Source organism: Homo sapiens, chromosome 9, assembly GCF_000001405.40.
Source record: "Homo sapiens chromosome 9, GRCh38.p14 Primary Assembly".
NCBI lineage: Eukaryota > Metazoa > Chordata > Mammalia > Primates > Hominidae > Homo > Homo sapiens.
This window is the reverse complement of record NC_000009.12, coordinates 4,971,011-4,990,090: the sequence shown is the minus strand read 5'-3', so window position 1 is coordinate 4,990,090 and position 19,080 is coordinate 4,971,011. Positions and strand designations below refer to the sequence as shown.

General features: G+C 40.6%; 1 protein-coding gene across 8 annotated transcripts in view, besides 8 other annotated features; it reads right to left on the bottom strand.

The window, feature by feature from the left end:
* JAK2 (Janus kinase 2) overlaps positions 1-5,701 on the bottom strand; it is a 145,559-nt gene extending 139,858 nt beyond the window's left edge. For 2 of the 8 annotated variants that reach the window (NM_004972.4, NM_001322198.2), the window contains exons 1-2: positions 4,461-4,819; positions 4,069-4,151 (exon numbers count right to left, since the gene is read on the bottom strand). The gene's annotated coding sequence lies outside the window, so the exon portion shown is untranslated. Of the gene's footprint in view, positions 1-4,068; positions 4,152-4,460; positions 5,006-5,325 lie in introns of those variants that run through there. The other 6 variants (NR_169763.1, NM_001322194.2, NM_001322199.2 and 3 more) reach the window with 6 other exon arrangements.
* Positions 4,017-4,066: an enhancer, noted in NCBI's record as "active region_28156". NCBI's record gives its function as "activates an Ori minimal core promoter by ATAC-STARR-seq in GM12878 lymphoblastoid cells {active_cell/tissue: GM12878}" and the evidence as "EXISTENCE:reporter gene assay evidence [ECO:0000049][PMID:35858748]".
* Positions 4,397-4,726: a silencer, noted in NCBI's record as "silent region_19752". NCBI's record gives its function as "represses an Ori minimal core promoter by ATAC-STARR-seq in GM12878 lymphoblastoid cells {active_cell/tissue: GM12878}" and the evidence as "EXISTENCE:reporter gene assay evidence [ECO:0000049][PMID:35858748]".
* Positions 4,867-5,006: an enhancer, noted in NCBI's record as "active region_28155". NCBI's record gives its function as "activates an Ori minimal core promoter by ATAC-STARR-seq in GM12878 lymphoblastoid cells {active_cell/tissue: GM12878}" and the evidence as "EXISTENCE:reporter gene assay evidence [ECO:0000049][PMID:35858748]".
* Positions 4,867-5,768: a biological region, named in NCBI's record as "H3K27ac hESC enhancer GRCh37_chr9:4984323-4985156".
* Positions 4,935-5,768: an enhancer, noted in NCBI's record as "H3K27ac hESC enhancer chr9:4984323-4985156 (GRCh37/hg19 assembly coordinates)". NCBI's record gives its function as "activates a minimal SCP1, AML or CMV promoter by ChIP-STARR-seq in naive H9 embryonic stem cells {active_cell/tissue: H9 hESC(naive)}" and the evidence as "EXISTENCE:reporter gene assay evidence [ECO:0000049][PMID:30033119]".
* Positions 5,117-5,196: a silencer, noted in NCBI's record as "silent region_19751". NCBI's record gives its function as "represses an Ori minimal core promoter by ATAC-STARR-seq in GM12878 lymphoblastoid cells {active_cell/tissue: GM12878}" and the evidence as "EXISTENCE:reporter gene assay evidence [ECO:0000049][PMID:35858748]".
* Positions 5,237-5,286: a silencer, noted in NCBI's record as "silent region_19750". NCBI's record gives its function as "represses an Ori minimal core promoter by ATAC-STARR-seq in GM12878 lymphoblastoid cells {active_cell/tissue: GM12878}" and the evidence as "EXISTENCE:reporter gene assay evidence [ECO:0000049][PMID:35858748]".
* Positions 6,737-6,866: a silencer, noted in NCBI's record as "silent region_19749". NCBI's record gives its function as "represses an Ori minimal core promoter by ATAC-STARR-seq in GM12878 lymphoblastoid cells {active_cell/tissue: GM12878}" and the evidence as "EXISTENCE:reporter gene assay evidence [ECO:0000049][PMID:35858748]".

Sequence of the window (19,080 nt, the reverse complement as noted above, 5' to 3'; positions counted from 1 at the left end):
CTGACTTATTTCTAAGTCCTCATTACTTCAGGGCTCAATTATTTTCCTACCTCTTTCTACCATTCTCTTTCCAATTCATATGAGACCTAGCACTGGTGCTGCTTTGATTTTCCTAAAATACTTATTTCAGCAAACTCTTTCTCAATTCAAAACTTTTAAAGCTTCTCCATATCTACAGGTCAAAGTACATTCTTCTCATCCTAGCATTTAAAGACATCCATAATCAAATTCCAACTACATTTTTAACACAATTTCTTACTACTCTTTCACACAAATCTTCATTTCAGTCAAGTTATTTATGTACTGCTCTCTGAACATATCATACATATATACATATTTTGCCTTTGCTTACCCCCTCTACCAGTTCCTTCCTATTATGCAAAATCTCTGCTCAACTCAAGTGGTCTTAAATATCTGTAACTTTTATTATTTAGCTTATCTGCCCAATTATACTGTAAGTCCTTAGGGAAAGGAGCCTATTTTATATTTCTTTATTTCTCTTTTGAATACAGCCAAGTACCTTTTACATTGCAAGTATTAACAAATATTTGTTTGGTGACTACAGTTCCTTATCACACAATCAACATGTATTTCTTGAATGCTGCCCATGTGCTCTCCACTGTGTGTTGTGGTTTTTTTTTAATCTAAGGTACTGCTCCTCAAAGAATACACAATCAACTTGAAAAGATATGGCTAACACTAGGGAAATAACTATCAAACAACTAAAGCATGGCATATAATTAAACCATGTGAAAATGTTCTAAGACTAAAGAGCTACAGAAATAGAGGAAAAAAAAGAGGGATGGAGAACATGGGCAAAAATTAAAGGATAGAAGAAGCATAGCTTATTATTAGAAAGTGTGGAAATCAGCTTACAAGCTTAAGGACTAGAGATCCTTAGACAAAAGACTAAATAAATAGGGCAGGGATTGATAATAGACTATCTTAAAAGTCAGGAAAATTTAATAAGTAGAAAATGGTAAGCCACTGAAGGTTTTGGGGCAAGGGAATGCTATAATAAGGAGTATTAGAGTGGAATCTCTATTGAGGATAAACAGAAGGAAGGGACACTGAATTCTCAGAAGTTCAAATGACTTTCAATATTCTAGGCTCAGGAAATGTGTCCTGGGATTCACACAGTAAAGGAGGGAAAGCAGAGATATGAGAAAGAAAGGAAATATGGACATTTTGAATGGGAATAAGAGGTAAATGAAAGAAGTAGTTTAAAGATGATGCCTAATTTAAAGCCTACATGATTAGAAGAAAATTAAGGGGTAGAAAATGGTAACTTTCACTTGGGGCATTCGGAGTTTAAGGAGATGAACAGAAGTAGAAGCAGAAGACCAGTACAGGAAAAACCAGGAAGTGACTAGTACAACAAGTTAGCAATAGGATTAGTTTTAAAATGAAAGAACTGGGCAGAAGTTATAAACATATTACATAGGAGAGGAAATATATTAAGCCATGATCAGCTGGTACTAGCTTTATATCAATAATTTTATCAGAAAAGCAAACTAAAAGCTAAGGCAGAGGTTTCCAAACCCATTCAGGGAGCTCTGAGTCTTAGCAAATTTTTCACGACACCCCCAGGCCAAAAGAAATAGGTTTGAACAACTTACTTAGTAGTTATGTCCTTACAACTTAGTGTAGAGCACTGTAGAACTTATCAAACCTTAGAATCAAATTGGACAATACCACACTGTCATTTCCTGTTCTACATTCATTTTCATGTAGTAGTTGCTTTTTATCGGAGCAACCTCTGAAAATACATCTTTACAAAGACATGACATTGTAGAAACGGGTGTAGGTATCTAATATTGAAACCATGAACCAACTCAAAACACAAGTTCAAGCCTGAGGTGCTCTGGGCACCTTGGCACACAGTTTGGGAAACTGGGAGCTAAGAGGAGGGGTCTAAAAGGGAGTGGGGAAGGGTGGGAAATGTAATGGGAGAAGAGCAAAAGAAAGGTCTTAGCACAGTTAACCACAAGGGGGCAGCACAATAATTGGTAGGGGCAACACAATGGGGGTTTAAGCAGAGACACAAAGTCAAACCTTTCCATACAAAGGCTGTAATACTCCCTCACCAGTTTAAGACCTTGAAGTCCTTTATCTCTTTATACTAGAAAGGAGGAAACACGAGTTACAGGCAGATCACCTTATGCAGTCATTCTGCCCTTCTCTGAATCTCCTTTGCCTCCCAGCCGTGATAGTAGCCAAGACTTTTATGACAGCCAGGCAGTTTACCACTTTGCATGTGTCTTACTCACTTCTCACAACAATCTTATAAGAAAGTGAAGCTAAAAGAGTCGTAAATAATATAACTCTTTTTTTCTTTCTTTTTTTTTTTTTTTTTAGACAGAGTCTTGCTGTGTTGCCCAGCCTGGAGTGCAGTGGTGAGATCTCGGCTCACTGCAACCACCACTTCCCAGGTTCAAGCAATTCTCCTGCCTCACCCTCCCGAGTAGCTGGGATTACAGGTGTGCACCACCACGCCCGGCTAATTTTTGTATTTTTAGTAGAGATGGGGTTTCACCATGTTGGCCAGGCTGGTCTCAAGCTCCTCACCTCAAGTGATCCTCCTTCCTCAGCCTCCCAAAGTGCTGGGATTACAGGCGTGAGCCACCATGACCAGCCGTAAATAATGCAACTCTTAAGTGGCAAGAACACCAGGATTCAAATCCAGATCTCACTCCAAAGCCAATGCACTTTCCTATTCTGCCTCAAAAGCATCCCACCTTTCAGTAATAGCCAGGTGAAAGAGAAACAATGTCATATTCCCTTCCCATATCTGAGACACCTGTCTCAAATCACCAAAGGCACACACACACAAAATTCCCTAATGAGTCCCTAAAACTGCTATAAATTGCAAATACAGGATATTCAGTTAGAGCAAAAACAAGCATGGTGTGCTCTTCTGGCCAGCAAGTACTGCAGCTTTCCTATTCAGGTAAATACATGTACTATTAAGGCAAGTGCTGGATACATCCAGTCTGTACATACGTTACACACCAACAGACAAATGCATGTACAAGCAAATAATTCTCACACTTAAAGTGGTATAAGGTGAGGCGGATGGGGGAAGGGAGGCCAAAAATTGATTATTCATCTTCAAATGTTCTGGGTGTTATATCAAAATACAAGCTGATCATCCCTTATCTGAAAAGCTGCAAAATCTGAAACATTTTGAGCACCAACATGATGCTACAAGGGGAAAATTCCCCGCATAGGTACTTAATACAAACTTTGTTTCATGCACAGACGTATTAAAAATATTGCAAATGACTTAGTGGCTGTGTGAATAAGGTCTATATGAAACAAACGAATTTCGTATTTACACTTGGGTCCCATCCTCAAGATGTCTGATTTTGTATATGCAAACATTCCAAAATTTTTAAAAAAAATCCAAAACACTTTTGGTCCCAAGCATTCTGGAGAAGGGATACAAAATCTTTATTTGCAGTAGCCCAACAACTCACTGTACAAACTTATTATGAAACCAAAAGCAATCATTTCCCTTATTCCCACTTCCAGTTTCCTTCTCCATACTCAGCCGCTCCTACCCTTTCATTCAGAGAAATGGAGTTTCTCCTAACAGATTAGTAATTACTGGAAAACAAACTGGGTAAATTCAACCGACACAGCAAGCTTAGGCAGATAAAACCATGAGGAAACATTCAATGTGGTAGCAGAAACCCCAGCAAGAATAGCTAACGTGTTCTCCCAAAAGCTATCTCTTATTGCTTGGAAATACTCCTCTTTAAAGGATTAAGAATCTCTGGCTGCTTAAGAAGAAAGGGTAATGGACAACGTTTTTCGTTTCTCTGCAAAGTCACGTTATGTGTAAAGCCAACAAAAAAATGTTTCTTAAAGGATCCAAGACGAACAACAAAACACCCCAAAATTACTCTCCCAGATCAACATTAAAAGTTTAGCACTGACATTTTCAGAAGAGTAAGCAACAATGAGCCCTGCCTCTCTTCACACGCTTCCAACCTTCCCTACGCACGCACTCCCAGCTCCAGACACCTTCGCCTTTACTGCAGCGATAAAGGACAGCACACCCACCGTCGCGGGAGGAGGAGGAAGAGCCTCTTTTTCTGCAGAAGAGAAACAGTTCACATCTTGTTCCTGTTGCCTGCTTCTGAAACCTAAAAACAGAAGCAGCAGTTAACTACTACCACATAAATCCAGGGGAAACAAATGCTTTTTCTAGGCTGTTTAAGTGTCTAGAAAATTTTAAAAAGGAATAAGGAGGCGGGAGCGAGGGAATTATAAGACACAAATGGAAGCAAATATCACCAGCAAGACTCGTTCTAGGTGTCGTCTTAAAGAGGAAGATTTTTCTGGCTCAGAAGTTTGCTGCCACTAGCAGGGGGCAGGCGGGACCAAAAGGTAGGAAGGGGGTGGAGAGACAGCTGCTGCCCCCCACCCAGAAGCCAGGCAGAGATAACACCCACCGGCTACACAGATCGGGCGACCAGAGCGCGCCCTCGAGCCCGCAGGGGCGGCTCCTACCCGGCGGGTCAAGGTCTGCGAAGCCCCGGGACGGGCACGGCTCTGAACGACCTCCAGGCTGGGCCCTCGGGGGCCCTCCAGTGTGGGCTCAGCTCCCACTCACATCCCTCGGCAGCGAGGACCAGGCCTCTCCCTGCGCCGCAGCAGCCCTCAGCCCCGACGCGCGCCGCAAGCCCGGGCCGAGGGGCCCGACCGGCCGAGAAGCCGAAGTGGCGACGCGAACACCCAAGCGAGCCGGGCGCCGGCCCAGCCTGTCAGCGCCGAGGGAGGCCGTTAGCGGCGTCCGCTGCTGCCCCCTTCTGCTCCTCTTCCTCTCTCCTTCCTGCAGCCCCACACCACTCCCACTTCGGGCAGCCGGGAAGCCCGTCACAGTTGTCTCCACCCTCTCCGGGGCCACACCGTCTTCTCAACGCCGCGGGCGACACTGGCTTCGCCGCCCTGCTAGCTTCGAACTCAGCCTCCCGGTTGGCCTGCAGTCTCCCCGAATGGCAGGAGACCGGGCCGGATAGAGGCTGGGGGAGAGCCGGACGCGCGTCCTGCAGTGCGCGTGCGCCGCTCGGTGCTGGTCGCGGGACCGGCAGGCGCGGGCCACGCAGGGCAGCTGCCTCTCGGGAAGCCGGCGAGCGCGCGTGGAGATTCCTGGGACGGCCCCTGGGCGTGAGCGCGCAAGGAAGTTAAGGCGGCGGCGCCTCGCGAAACGCTGGTGCCCGGCTGGAGCTAGGCGCCAGCGCTGGGCCCGGCCCTCACTAGATGGGCGGGTGTGTGTGTGGCCGCCGCCCTCCAGGGAAGCGGCCGGGAGTGACTCACCCTGGCTGGCTCCCCAGCGCGCAGCCTGCACTGGAGGAGGCCGGGCTGCCTCCGCGCGGAGACTCCCCTCCCGCACACTTCTCCGCTTTCGGCTTTTCCTTCCACCTCCCGGGTACAGCAGACCCGTCCTTCCCCAGTCCAGGCTGCTAGGCCGAGGGGAAGTGGCGCCGGGGGCCGGGGACAACGCGCTCACACACGCTGTTTCGTGGCAATGCGCCCTCGAGAGCCTGACTCCCATCAGCCACCTTGGCTGGAAAGGGGTGAGGGTGGGATGAAGCGCCCAGCCGCCTGCGGGTTGGCAACAAGGCCTAGCGAATGTTTCTCCTAGAGGAGAAACAACTTTACCGGCGTGGCCTGGTGTAGCCCGGGAGAGGGTGGAGACAACGGCTGTGACGGGCTTCCCGGCTGCCAAAGGGCCTCATTCATTCATTCAAATATTTACTGAGTGTCTACTAGGTGCCGGGCTGTAGGTCCCCAGAGATACCAGGTGAACACGACCCCACACACTCCTTGCCCTACTGGATTGTATTCTGATGGAAGCGACAAAACAACAAACAACGCTTTAAATGCATAATGTGCGGGGTGTGTAATTGCCACTAAGAAAATGCATAGTTTTCTGCTGCCATATACATAATAACAAAGAAAAGGAGTAGAAAGTGAGGAGGGGGTGTGCTATTTTACGGTGGCCAGGAACGATTTCCTAGAATAAGTGACATTTGAGCAGAGATCTGAAGGATGAGAATGAACCAGTCCCATGACTATCTGGGAAAAGAATTTCAGGCAGAGGGACTCCTGAAGGCAAAGACCTTGAGAAGGGAAAGTGTTTGGCAAGTTCAAGGATCAGGAAAGAGGTCACTGTGGCTGGAGGACACGGAAGGAGGGGGCAGTGGTAAGAGGTGAGGCCAAAGAAGTAGCCTGGCACCAGATCGTGTAGGGATTTTTTTCAAGTATTAGCCCTCTTTCTGTCAACCTAAATGAAGTGACGCATTCATAGCTCCTGTTTCCCCATACACAACTGATGCTGCTCTTCAGGTCTGTCTTGCACTTAATGGTTTCTTTAAATAAACCTCACCAAAGCAACTCCTGCATTTCTTCTTACATAAGACCCATTGCAAAAGGTCTTTAAGCAAATGATAGCAGCATAGGAAATTACTTGAATTCACCCTGAATCTTTTAAATAATGAACTAGAGCTGTATAAGAGGGAGGGATTTACAGGAAAATTGCATTCCTACGGCTACTGCTTCATAGGTAATATATGGGCAAAGTTAGTAAGAATTTCTAATTATTAATTGTGACTCAATGGCTTAGAATATCAAGGCCGCAATTACAAACAGTGACTACCAAAAGAGTTCCTTTTTTCCTGCAAACAAAAACTGCTACTGAGGTAAAAGCTAGAACACAGACCCACATAATGAAGAAGAGCTAAAGATGAGCTTAACGTCATGGGTAAATGAAAAGCATCACAACTGTGGAAATGGAAATGTGATATTTTGTGAGGGGAAGAAAATGCTTGTTTTAGAACTCTGAAACAGTATTACTTTCATTATAAGTGATGTTTCTATATTTTGCAGTGATATACTTATGTAACTAGGCATGGTATCTCTTACTGTCCACAGCCTGTTTGCAGGGAGAAGCCATTTGAAATTGGTGAATTGCAGGGAGAAGCCATTTGGAAGTGGTGAATATTGAGGATATTTTTGTGGGGGAGCAGGTTATTTTCTTAATATTAGAGATGTGGGTATGGAAGACAAGGTGGACAAGGGGTATATTATTCATAAGCCTATAGAATTGAGAAATCTTCTGTCTCCCCACATAGAAAGATGAAGCAACTTGCCTCCTGTCATTCAGAAAGTGAAAGCCTCCCTCATCACTAAGACATGATTTTAAGTCAATGCTAACCTGGAATGTTGAGCTTTTTTCACTCTGTATTAACAGAACTTTTGAGCTCTTTATGTGATTCCTGGTAGTGGCATCACTAGAAATTTGCTACTCAAGGCAAACATTTCAGGAAATTTCCCTTATTCTTTGATAATGATGAAAAGAATTCCAAGGAATTTGACCAAGTCTTTCAAAACATTCATACAATATGAAGAAACAAGAAATATGAGCTGTAAGGTAACACATTTAGATTCAAAACTTTGTGGCAAGATCTAATGGGAAAACTTAACAGCTAGTTGTTGACTGTGGGGCTGTGTGTAGTGTCTTGAGGTTTTGTCCTTCCAGTGTTGGCCAGCATGGCAGCAGTGATTCTTGACTGCTATGCCCAAACCTTCCCCCCACCCCAACAAGACTGCCTCAGTAAGTGTGAGATGGCGCATTGGCTTCTATAACTTTTTAACATTTTTAGGTGGTTTGACATAAAGCCACGGTTGAAAATCCATGGCCAAGGGTTTAAGAACTTACGCTTTAAGAGTCCAGACCACCCAGGTTTCTTTCAATCACAGCTTTTGCCAGGAAAGTTTATTTAGATTTTCTAAGCCTCTGTTTCCTCATCAGTATAATGAGGATAATAATCTCCCCTGTAGAGAGATTTTGAAGATTAGGTGAAAAAGTATTTTAAAACCCTTAGCACAGTTATCAAATGTCTATTATATCTGTGGCAGGACCAATTTACAGATATAACCAAGCTGGGAGGTATAAGAAATTTGTTGAATTTTATTAGGAAGATTGAAGTATTTGTCACAGTTTATTGCACTACACAGGACTGTGTGGGCTGGTAGGATAAGGGCTGAGTTGTAATAGAGATAAATGTGAAGATCTCCATTTGAATTTTAAAAAACAGAACTATATCATTAAATGATGAGACTGAAAACATCATTCTTAAGGAGGGACATAAATGTGAGCACAAAAAAAGATGCAGGAAAGTCCTTGGAAAGGGAAACAGGCTCAAACGAAGGGCTGGGGAGAAGTCCAGGAGTTAGTTTGTTTCTTTCCAAAACAGGGAAGATGTACTTTCCTGAAGGCAGAAAGGAATAAAATATGGAAAGAGGCTTATTTATTCCAAATGTAGGATTATAAGCCAAAAGACAAAGGCAAGGGGTATTAATCAAGTAGACAGACAAGCAAGCAATGTTTTTTTTACTACAAATCATCCAGATATTTTAGTACCATTTATTCCAAAATTTGGTTGGCTATGGCAAAGAAATTTTCCAATACCTCCTCGGTACTTCAGCATGTCCTTGTCTCTACATCAGTTCCCTTATCCTTACTTTCAATCACAAAAAGAAAAGGAAAACAAAAAAGATATTGCCAGTGAACAGATCCCTCATTCCCTTGAGATAACTGGATGTATTAAACTTTGGTGCTTGAAAACCAAAACAGTTTTCCCTTTGTAAGCCAAGAATTAATAACCTCTTTCAAGTGAGGATAATTATTTGGCAAAATATGTAAAATGACCATTATAACTATGTGCTACTTTTAAAAAATTTAACTTAAAACTGTTAGACATATAGTTGCCTATTCACGAAAAACATTTTTTGTGTGTGTGAAAGGATTCATGCCAGCATTCACTCTTAAAAACAAAATTTCGGCCAGGCGCAGTGGCTCACACCTGTAATCCCAGCACTTTGGGAGTCCAGCGTGGGTGGATCACAAGGTCAGGAGATCAAGATCTCCTGGCTAACATGGTGAAACCCTGTCTCTACTAAAAATACAAAAAATTAGCCAGGCATGGTGGCATGTGCCTATAGTCCCAGCTACTCAGGAGGCTGCGGCAGGAGATTCACTTGAACCTGGGAGGTGGAGGTTGCAGTGAGCCGAGATCATGCTACTGCACTCCAGCCTGGGCAACAGAGCAAGACTCCCATCTCAAAAAATAAAATAAAATAAAATAAAAAATAAAAATAAATCCCTAGCATAATTGTTAGTTTACAGAGACTCAGAGACTTAATTCCTGAGTCCTAATTTAGACTAAGGATTCTGTCCTCTTTGCTGAGAACTGTCCTCTTCACCCAGAGTAGCCAGCCTCTGGCACCTACGTTCTAGTTTGTGACACCCTGCTTCCCACAACCCCTTGATTGGACCAAGCTGAGCCATCAGAGTCTCACTCCTGGGGAATTTGGAGTTGGGATTCAAAAACAGCAAATCAGACTTTTCTGTTCACTTGAAATGAGGTTACCCATGCTCTAAAGTTAAGGCTGCCACTATGAGGTTACCATCTTCATTCTTGCACAGAAAGCTGATTTGCTATAGGAGAGAAGAATGCCACAGAAGAGAAGAGAGAGAGAATGTGCGCAGTATGTGTCCCCATAGCTTTTCAGTTCCCTCTTTCTTATAAGGTCCACCAAAACTTCATGCATTTTCTATCTTGAAAATACTTCCTTATGACAAATTTCTCCTTTTGACTTAAGTTAGATCTAGTAGTGTCAGCGTACTCACAACTGAAATAACCAGGAGTAAGGGAGACATCATAGTAAGCTGATGAGAGAGAAAAATACTCTGTCAAATTACAACAGGGAAAATGTATATTTAAAAAAAATGTATGATTCACCCACAAAGTGTGGAAGTCTATCTTCAATCATAAAGCCAAGCAGAACTATGCAAGTATTAGTCATAATCTGAGATATTACATATAACCCATAGGTTAGCAGAAGATAAGCCCTCTTTGATTATGATGGACGTTTACTACAGTGAAATTTTTCTCACCCACGCCTCCTTCTCCCAACCACCACACCCTTCACCCCTGTTCTGTTTTCTTTTCTCACTTGCTTCACTCTAATTTCTCTGTAACTTAATAATTTTGTGAATTTTCTGGGCTGTAGCTATAGGAATTGCTGTGGTCATTCCACTCTAGCTATGCTATTGACCAAAGGAAAATCTGATTTGATATTAAAGTATCATACTGATGTGGTGGAATACTGTGTATTTCCATTTCAACTACAAAATACACAACTGGACCAGAAAATGCTGCATGAAACAGTTCTCCATTTTAACTTCTACTCCTGCTTGGCCATATACCTCCAAATGTCCATAATTTGTCCTTAACTAGACTTTTCTCTTCTCCTTCCCCCTTTTTTTCCCTGAATGCCTTATCCTTCTGAGGTTTGAGGCTGTACCTCTTTATCTCTATGTCATGAGAGTTGATCAGAGGGAAAGCAGGTGTTTTCCTTCTAGAAAAGGCAGCTGGTATTAAGGGAGCGCCCTTATTAGGGTGGTCTTACTTTATCCACATACTTAGGTTTCCCATCCACATCTAACAGTGTCCCCCACTGAACATGATATAGCTGTCCATTTGGAGGGGAAAAACAGTTCTTTGCTTTCTCCTTTTGTGTAATGGTGCTTTGTTATGTTTACTGTCATCTCCACCTGTTATAGATCAAGCATAAAATGATGTCACAGTGCTAAGGCAAGCTCTTTTGGCTGAGCAGTCTAATCCTACAAGAATTTTAGTATCATGTGCTTTCCACTCAGATGCTAATTCAGCTCTTTTACTACTCACAGGAAATATTCTGGGACTCAATAGCATTACAAGTAATAAAATTTTAGTAACAGTGATGACTTTGGAGGTTTTTGAAAACAAATGCGTATTACCAGAATAGATATGTTTTAAGGCTCATGAAAACTTACTGTTGTACATATTAATGTCTATTATATTTATTAAAGGGCTTTTAAGTATATTTGTTGAGCAAACTACTTTTTTTCATTTTTAATTTCACAAGTAAACATAAATACATAGCAATTGTGGAAAATCCAAACAACATAGAAGAAAAAATGTACAAAGTGGAAATTTCTCTTGACCCTCTTCTCCCAGCCCTCTTCAATTTCCAGAGGCCACCATTAATAACTATCTGAGATTTACTCTTTCAAACTTTTTCCAATGCATTTTCTTACATATCTCCTATAGATATAGTTTTGAGCTTGGTAAATAAATAAAATGGGTTATTCTACACATGTTTTTCTGTTAACATTTTTTTCACTTAGAATACCTTGGAGATACTTCATGTCAATATGTATTGCTTTTCTCATTCATTTTAACTCTTATACTGTGTCAGTAAAACAGGTGCTAATAATTTATTAAATAATTTATTTATGAACATTTAGGTTTCTAATTTCTCCAGTTACACAGTGTTAAATTTGAAGGCATTGAACATGCATTTCATGGGCAAAAATGTATTTCCTGGGATAGACACTTAGACTCTCTGTACCAAAGGAAATACAAATTTAAAATTTGTTGACTACTGTCAAATCAACTTCCAGAAGTTCCACAGTAGTATATCAATGCTCATTTCTCTATAATCTCACTAACTCAATATTATGAATCTTTAATTTTAGGTAATTTTAGTTCCAAAACACACTCATCCCAGTCGTTTGACCAGTATTTATTAAACGCCTGTTATGTAACGGTACTCTGTAAATGTTAGAAACTCACTAGTGTGTTACACAACCACTCTTTTACCCATCGTTGCCTCCATTTTTGCCTTGATTACATTTTAAAGTAGACACAATAATATTGACTATAAAATTCATCAACCATACTGATCAAGTAATTATCCAATTATCTTCAAATATGCTTTTGAATCGTACAGATTTCCTGAACCATTTTTCTTACAGGAGGAAATGATTCCTTTGGGAAAATGCTGGAAAAATACAAAGACCAGAGATTGTTACTAGCTGGGAGATTTTAATCTGTTACTCAATTTTTCTAAACTTCTGTTTTCTAGTCTCTACAATGAGAATAATAGGGGCACTTGCATTTAGGATTGATTTGAGGTTATAATGAGATAACATGTAGAAAACACTCAACAAATTCCTGATAACAATAATAGGTAACATCACAGTTCATACAACATATCAGGCATCTTCAAGAGTTTTATATGTATCAAATCATTTGAGCCTCACCACAAGGCTATGAGGTGGTTACTTGCATTATCCTCATCTCAAAAGAAAGTGAGGAACAAAAGGTTAAATGTCTTTCAAGTGTCTCTCAGAAATCCTGCTGGGCTAAGACTGAACCCCAAAGGGCCTGGCTGCACAGCTAACTCCTCTAACAATCACACTCTACTATCTCCTGAATAGACAAGCAAGTAATAAATATTATTTCCTTTACTCTTCTTGCTTATAGCTGAGCCTATCCCAAGTATACACCCCAACCCACAGAATTTTAAACGTGGTGATGGAAGATGATTCATTAAATTCATAAGCTTCATATTAATATATAGGCAATCAGGTAACAATATTTATGTATAATATATAGCAAAGGCTTCTATCCATGGATAGATTTCTTATTTGCTGGAATGGCTCCCAGATGCTATACTGTAGAGGAGTGGCTCTCAAAATGTGGTCCATGGACAGGCAGCATCAGCATTACCTGGGAACACGTTAGAAATGTACATTTTTGAGCCCCAACCCAGACTTTCTGTATCAGAAACTCTGGAAGTAGGGTCCAGCCATTTGTGTTTTAACAGGCCTTCCAGACAATTCTGAGGCACACTAAAGTTCAAGAACCACTGTTGTAGAGAATCCTTGTAATGGGTAAAGTAAAAGAAAATAAATAAGCCAAAGAACTTAGGTTGCCTTTCATAACAGGTGATATGGTGGGGAGGGGTTAGGGAATAAAATATAAGTGAGGCACAGATGCAGTACCTTGACTTGAAGAATGAACAAAAAGAAGAGATCTTTCTTTCAAGTTGCTTCAGTATGTAGATGGGAATAAGAAGTGGATGGCAATAGAGAATTTTAAAACATTTTGCTTTAACTTATAAAGTGGACCTACTTTCATTCCCTTTATATAAAACCTTAAATTTTTTCTTCAAGTATTCTTGATTATAACGCTTGTGTTTTTAAGGCATTTACTGTATATGCCAGACCACATGGGAGCCCCAGTTTTATCAGGGCTACACTAAGTTGCAGTGCAACAAATTTAAGTCAAATAGCACTGAGTACACTTATTACAAATCAATCAAATTCTAAAATCACAAATGTTGCTGCTGAAAGACCTTACAAATCATAGAGATAATTGATTAGATACAATCATCAGATATAAATACATGTACAACAAGTTATGGAGTGTGCAGAGATGAGGCAGCCCAAGAAATATACCTATTTGTTACCTGGTAGGGTAGGCAGAGGAAGAGTGTATTCTATAAGAATCCAAAGAAACCCTTGTAGACCATGAGGGCAGAACTATATTTGTTTTATTCCCTATTGTATATCCAGTATCAATGCAAGTTTGACACATAGTATATGTTAAATAAGTGCCATTGTATAAATGAATTAATGAATAAGAACAATAGCAGGACAAAATGAGGATCAGTGGCCAAATCCTCCGTATTAATAATACCCCTAAGCTATCAGGAAACAGGTTAGCACTTAACTCCCTGGGCAGAGGTCTCGCTATAGAAAAAATTCACCTTAAGGGAAGAACTTGAGGTGCAGAAGCTTAGCCTGGATAAAATGACTGGGTATTAGGAGGTGTGATGACTGATAATTGGTATTTAATACCAGAGGTTATGTCAGTTTGGGTTTGAAATGAAATTCAGGCTATTTCTGTACTTTATTTTCTGTAAAATAGAGATAATAATACTTACCTAATAGGGTATAAAACCAAATAATAAATACCAACATAAGACGGTATTGCTCAGGATAGCCTTCCAGCCTAGCCATCCACCACCTTCCAGCAGCGAGAAGAGGAATGGGGAGAGAGGGCTATAATTAAGAGCATACCAAATAAAATACAGATATATCCAGAAACTTTATAAGAAAATAAGAGCTCAAGACAGGGCTGTTTGTGGCTCAGTTATAGAATGCAAACAGGAAGGCACTCGACTGGGAGACCTTGGTCTGAAGTTGTAGAAGGCCAGAGTTGGTGTTTCAGGGAAGCCGACATGCATAATTACAAGAGATATGGCAGTAATCACAGCTGCAGCCAGGAATCAGAACAGTGACTCTCCCTGGCCCCTCTCCCACGTTCTCACATCCCCGTGGCTCACTTCATCACCTCCTTAGGTGAGATGCAATTACAATTGAAATTTCAATGCCTCTCCATCCTCAACCTACACCAAACACTTAATTAGTTTATTTCCATTGCACTTATTACCACTTCACATACAATATATTTCATTTATTTATTTGTCTGTTTCTTTCAAGGAGAGGTGAGTTCCAGGTCTATTTTATTCATTACCATATATACCTAATACGTAGGACAGTGCCTGGTACAATAAATATTGAAATGACTGAAATTTTTATTATTTGGTTTTATACCCTATTAGGTAAGTATTATTATCTCTATTTTACAGAAAATAAAGTACAGAAATTGCCTGAATTTCATTTCAAACCCAAACTGACATAACTTCTAGTATTAAAGTTGCTATTTGAATCTAGATCTGTCTCCCCACAAAGTATGTTCTCTTAAAGTAGATGTCATTTGAGTTTGAAAAATGAATAGTGCCAGGCATGGTGGCTCACACCTGTAATCCTAGCACTTTGGGAGGCCAAGGTGGGCGGATCACTTGAGGCCAGGAGTTAGAGACCAGCCTGGCCAACATGGTGAAACCCTGTCTCTACTAAAATACAAAAAATTAGTCAGGTGTGGTGCGTGCTTGTAGTCCCAGCTACTTGGGAGGCTGAGGCAGGAGAATTCTGTGAACCCAGGAGGTGGAGATTGCAGTGAGCAGAGATCATGTGTCACCGCACTCCAGCCTGGGCAACAGAGTAAGACTCTGCCTCAAAAAAATATAAATAAATAAACAGAATAATATTGAGACTACTTTTGTAACTTACATCATTTCTAAAAACTGGCATTCTGTTCTGTAGCTATAATCTCCACATTTATTTTATTCTTAGTCCTACAATATAAGACATTCAACATTCACAAGTCATTTTGCTATAGTTTCTCTGTTCATCTCTCAGTTCATCTTTTATTAGTTTATTCAAGAAGAGTTCAGGAGAACTAATCTCTAATTGGTGCATGTTCAGAAATGTTTTCCTGTTTCCTTTCTACTTAAGTTTAGCTACATGTAAATTTCTTTTCTTTTTTTTTTTTTTTTTTGAGATGGAGTCTTGCTCTGTTGCCCAGACTGGAGTGCAGTGGCGCAATCTCGGCTCACTGCAAGCATCGCCTCCTGGGTTCACGCCATTCTCCTGCCTCAGCCTCCCGAGTAGCTGGGACTACAGGCATCTGCCACCATGCCCCACTAATTTTTTCTATTTTTTAGTAGAGACGGGGTTTCACCATGTTAGCCAGGATGGTCTCGATCTCCTGACCTCGTGATCCGCCCACCTCAGCCTCCCAAAGTGCTGGGATTACAGGCGTGAGCCACCGTGCCTGGCTGTAAATTTCTTGATTGTGCTTCTTCTCCTTAAGAACTTTCAAGGTACAGTAGTCCCCACCTTATCCACAGGGCATATATTCCAAGAACCACAGTGGATACCTGAAACCTTGGATAGTACTGAATCCCATATATACTATGTTTTTCCTATACATATGTACTTATGATAAAGTTTAATTTATAAATTAGGCACAGTAAGAGATTAGCAATAACTAAAAATAAAAGAGAACAATTATAACAATATGCCAGCATCACTACTCTTGAGCTTTGGGGCTAATACTAAGTAAAACAAAGGTTACTTGAACACACACACTGTGATATTGCAACGATCTGATAACCAAAACAGCTATTAAGAGACTTACAGGCAGTTAGCATGTACAGCATGGATATGCTGGACAAAGGGATAATTCACTTCCTGCACAGGTCAAGGCAGGACAGTAGAGATTTCATCATGCTACTCAAAACAGCACACAATTTAAAACTTAATAATTGTTTATTTCTGGAATTTTTCATTTAATATTTTCAGACCAAGGTAACTGAAATCATAGAAAGTGAAACTGCAGATAAGGGGGGACTACTGTATTTCTCTAATCTCTTCTGTTATCAATAATAGTATTAAGCCTTCCTTAACCCATAATTCACCTTCATAGCTGTCAACATTTTGCCAATCTTGTTTATTCTGCTTCCCCCAAAATGTTTGCAGACCCCAGATATCGTGATTTTTTCCTATAGATGTTTTAGTATGTATGTCTAACTATACGCATTTCTAACCAATAAGCACTTTTTAAAAATATAATTACCACAAATTATCACAGCCCCCAAAATTAACAATAATTTCTTAATATCTATAGGGACCAAGACTATAGGGACCAAGAGTAGCAACAAGACCAATATGGGGCCTGTTGCAATAGCTAGTTGGAAAATACTTTGGATTGGACCTGGGTGATGTCCTTGGATGCAGTGAGAAGTTACAGGATTCAGAATACATTCCAAAGATAGTCAGCAGGATTTGCTAATGGATTAGATCTAGGGTGTGAGAGAACTAAAATAGTCAAAGATGACTCGACTCTGAGGTTTTGACCCAAGCTACTGTAAAGATAAAGTTGTCTTTTACTGAGATAAAGAAGACTGGGTAAGAAGAAGTTTAAGAGCTCAGTTTGGACAAAATAAGTATGAGAAGCTTATTAGGTATGCAAGAGGAGAAATCAGATAAGCAGTCAAATATATGAGACTGGAGTTCAGGAGAGATGTCTGAGCTAGAGAAATAAAACTGGCAGTCATCAGCATAAAAATAGGTATTTAAAACCATGGTATGGGGTGAAGTCACCAAGAGACTGAGTGTAGATATAGATAGAAAAGAGAAGAGATCCAATGACAAAAACCTGGGATAGTCCATCCAATGTTCAGAGTTTGGAGGCAGTAGAAGGAACCAGCAAATGAGACTGATGAGGAGCCAGTATGCTAGGGAAAAAAATCAATAATATTATCATCTGAAGGCCAAGTTTTTTATTTTATTTTGTTTTTAGCCAACACGCAGAAGGCCAAATATTTTAAAGAGGAGGGGGAATTGACTGCATGAAATATTGCTATGTCAACTAAGATAAGAGCTTAGAATTGTCTATTGTGTTGAACCATTGACAAAAGCAATTATAAACTAGTGGGTCAAGATATTGAGTAAATATAGAGTGTAGACAACTATTAGGGAGAAGTTTTTATTAAAGGAGAAGAGAGAAATGTGAAAAGTGCTGGAAAAAGAAGTGGAGCCAAGAGAAAAATTGTTCGATGAATTAAACAATTGATTCTGAGAAATAACATGTAAGTTATATAATGGTCCACTGGAAAAGTAACAATTAATGATGAGGCAAGGAGAAGAGGAATTGCTGGAGCAATGTCCCTGAGTAGGAAAAGGTGACAGGATCTAGGCCTTAGATGGGAGCACAGAGTATTCACCAGGATGTGTAAGTGTGGGTACTATGAGAAGCAGATGTCAGGATGGAATTACATGTGCAAGAGATTTTGGGAGAAACACCTGTGAAGAATAAATGGAAAAGAGAGCAGGTGTAGGTTGGGGAGATCCTTCAGACTATGATGCAGGTCTGAGGGCTGTAAATGAAGAAAGGGAATGAAGAGGACTGGGTAGCACTTCCAAATGTTAAACACACAGTTGTCATATGAACCAACAATTCCACCCCTAGGTATACACCCAAAGAAATGAAAACAAATATCCACACAAAAACCGGTACACAAATGTTCACTGCAGTATTATTCATAATAGCCCCAAAGTAGAAACAATCCAAATGTCCATCAACTGACAAATGCATAAATAAAATGTGATAAAGCCATGCAATGGAATATTATTCATCAATAAAAGGAACAAAGTACAGATATATGCTGCAACATGGATGAACCTTGAAAACATCATGCTAACTGAAAGAAGCCACTCACAAAAGACCACGTATTGTATGATTCCTTTATATGAATTATCCAGAAGGAACCAATTTATAAAGACATAAAGTAGATTAGTGGATGTCTGGGGCCATAAGGGTTTGGAGCATGGAGAGGCGGGTATTGGGTAGTGACCACTAAAGAGTATGGGTTTCTTTTTTGGATGATAAAAATTTTCTGAGATTGATTGTGGCGATGGTTGCATAACTCTGATTATAGTAAAAACTAGTATTGTACACTGTAAATAGGTGAATTGTGTGATATGTGAATTAAATCTCAAAAAGGCTTAAAGAATGAAAAAGGAGGAGGAAGATTGGGTAGGAGGAGACTTAGACCATAGTGCCACTATGAGAAAGTCTTTATCAGATCAATAAAAGATAGCAAAACAGAGGTTGCCTGTTAGGAGAATCACATGTGAGGCAAAAATGACCCAGCTCTAGTATCCTGGCTGGGAGGGGCCTGAGAGTCATATGGGAAGAGGAAGAAAGAGCTTTGACTATAAACCCTGAAAAGAGCTTTGAGTGTGAAACCACAAGTTCATCAGCGGGAGGCTGTCAGCCAACTACACACCTCATGGCAAATTCTCTTAAGCAGAGCACCTCCATGGCTGCCAAAGAGTAAGAGAAGGCAGGTCACGGGATACGAGACTGACAACTCATTCTTCCATTTGATGATATATTCTTTTTTTCTATATATAGGAAGCAAGTTCATCAACTGACAGTAAATTTTGGGGGGCTTGAGGACAATATGTAGAGTCGTTGGAGTGCAAAGGTAAAAGTGAAAACATGAAGTCATTTAGAAGAGCAGGAGGGTGAAAGGACCAAGAACATGTACTCTGATTATCAAGCAGCAGTCAGAGCCCACCAGATGCCTCAGCGGCACGTTTGAGACACAGCAGCACGGTTGTGGGGTTTTCGCCACCCACATTCAGCTGCACAAGTCAAAGCTCAGAATCTAAGATAAAGCAGGGTTGGAATTTTCCCAGGTGAGTAAGAGGAAGTGAAAAAAGGGCAAGGAAATTAAGAATGTATGCAAATAACTGAT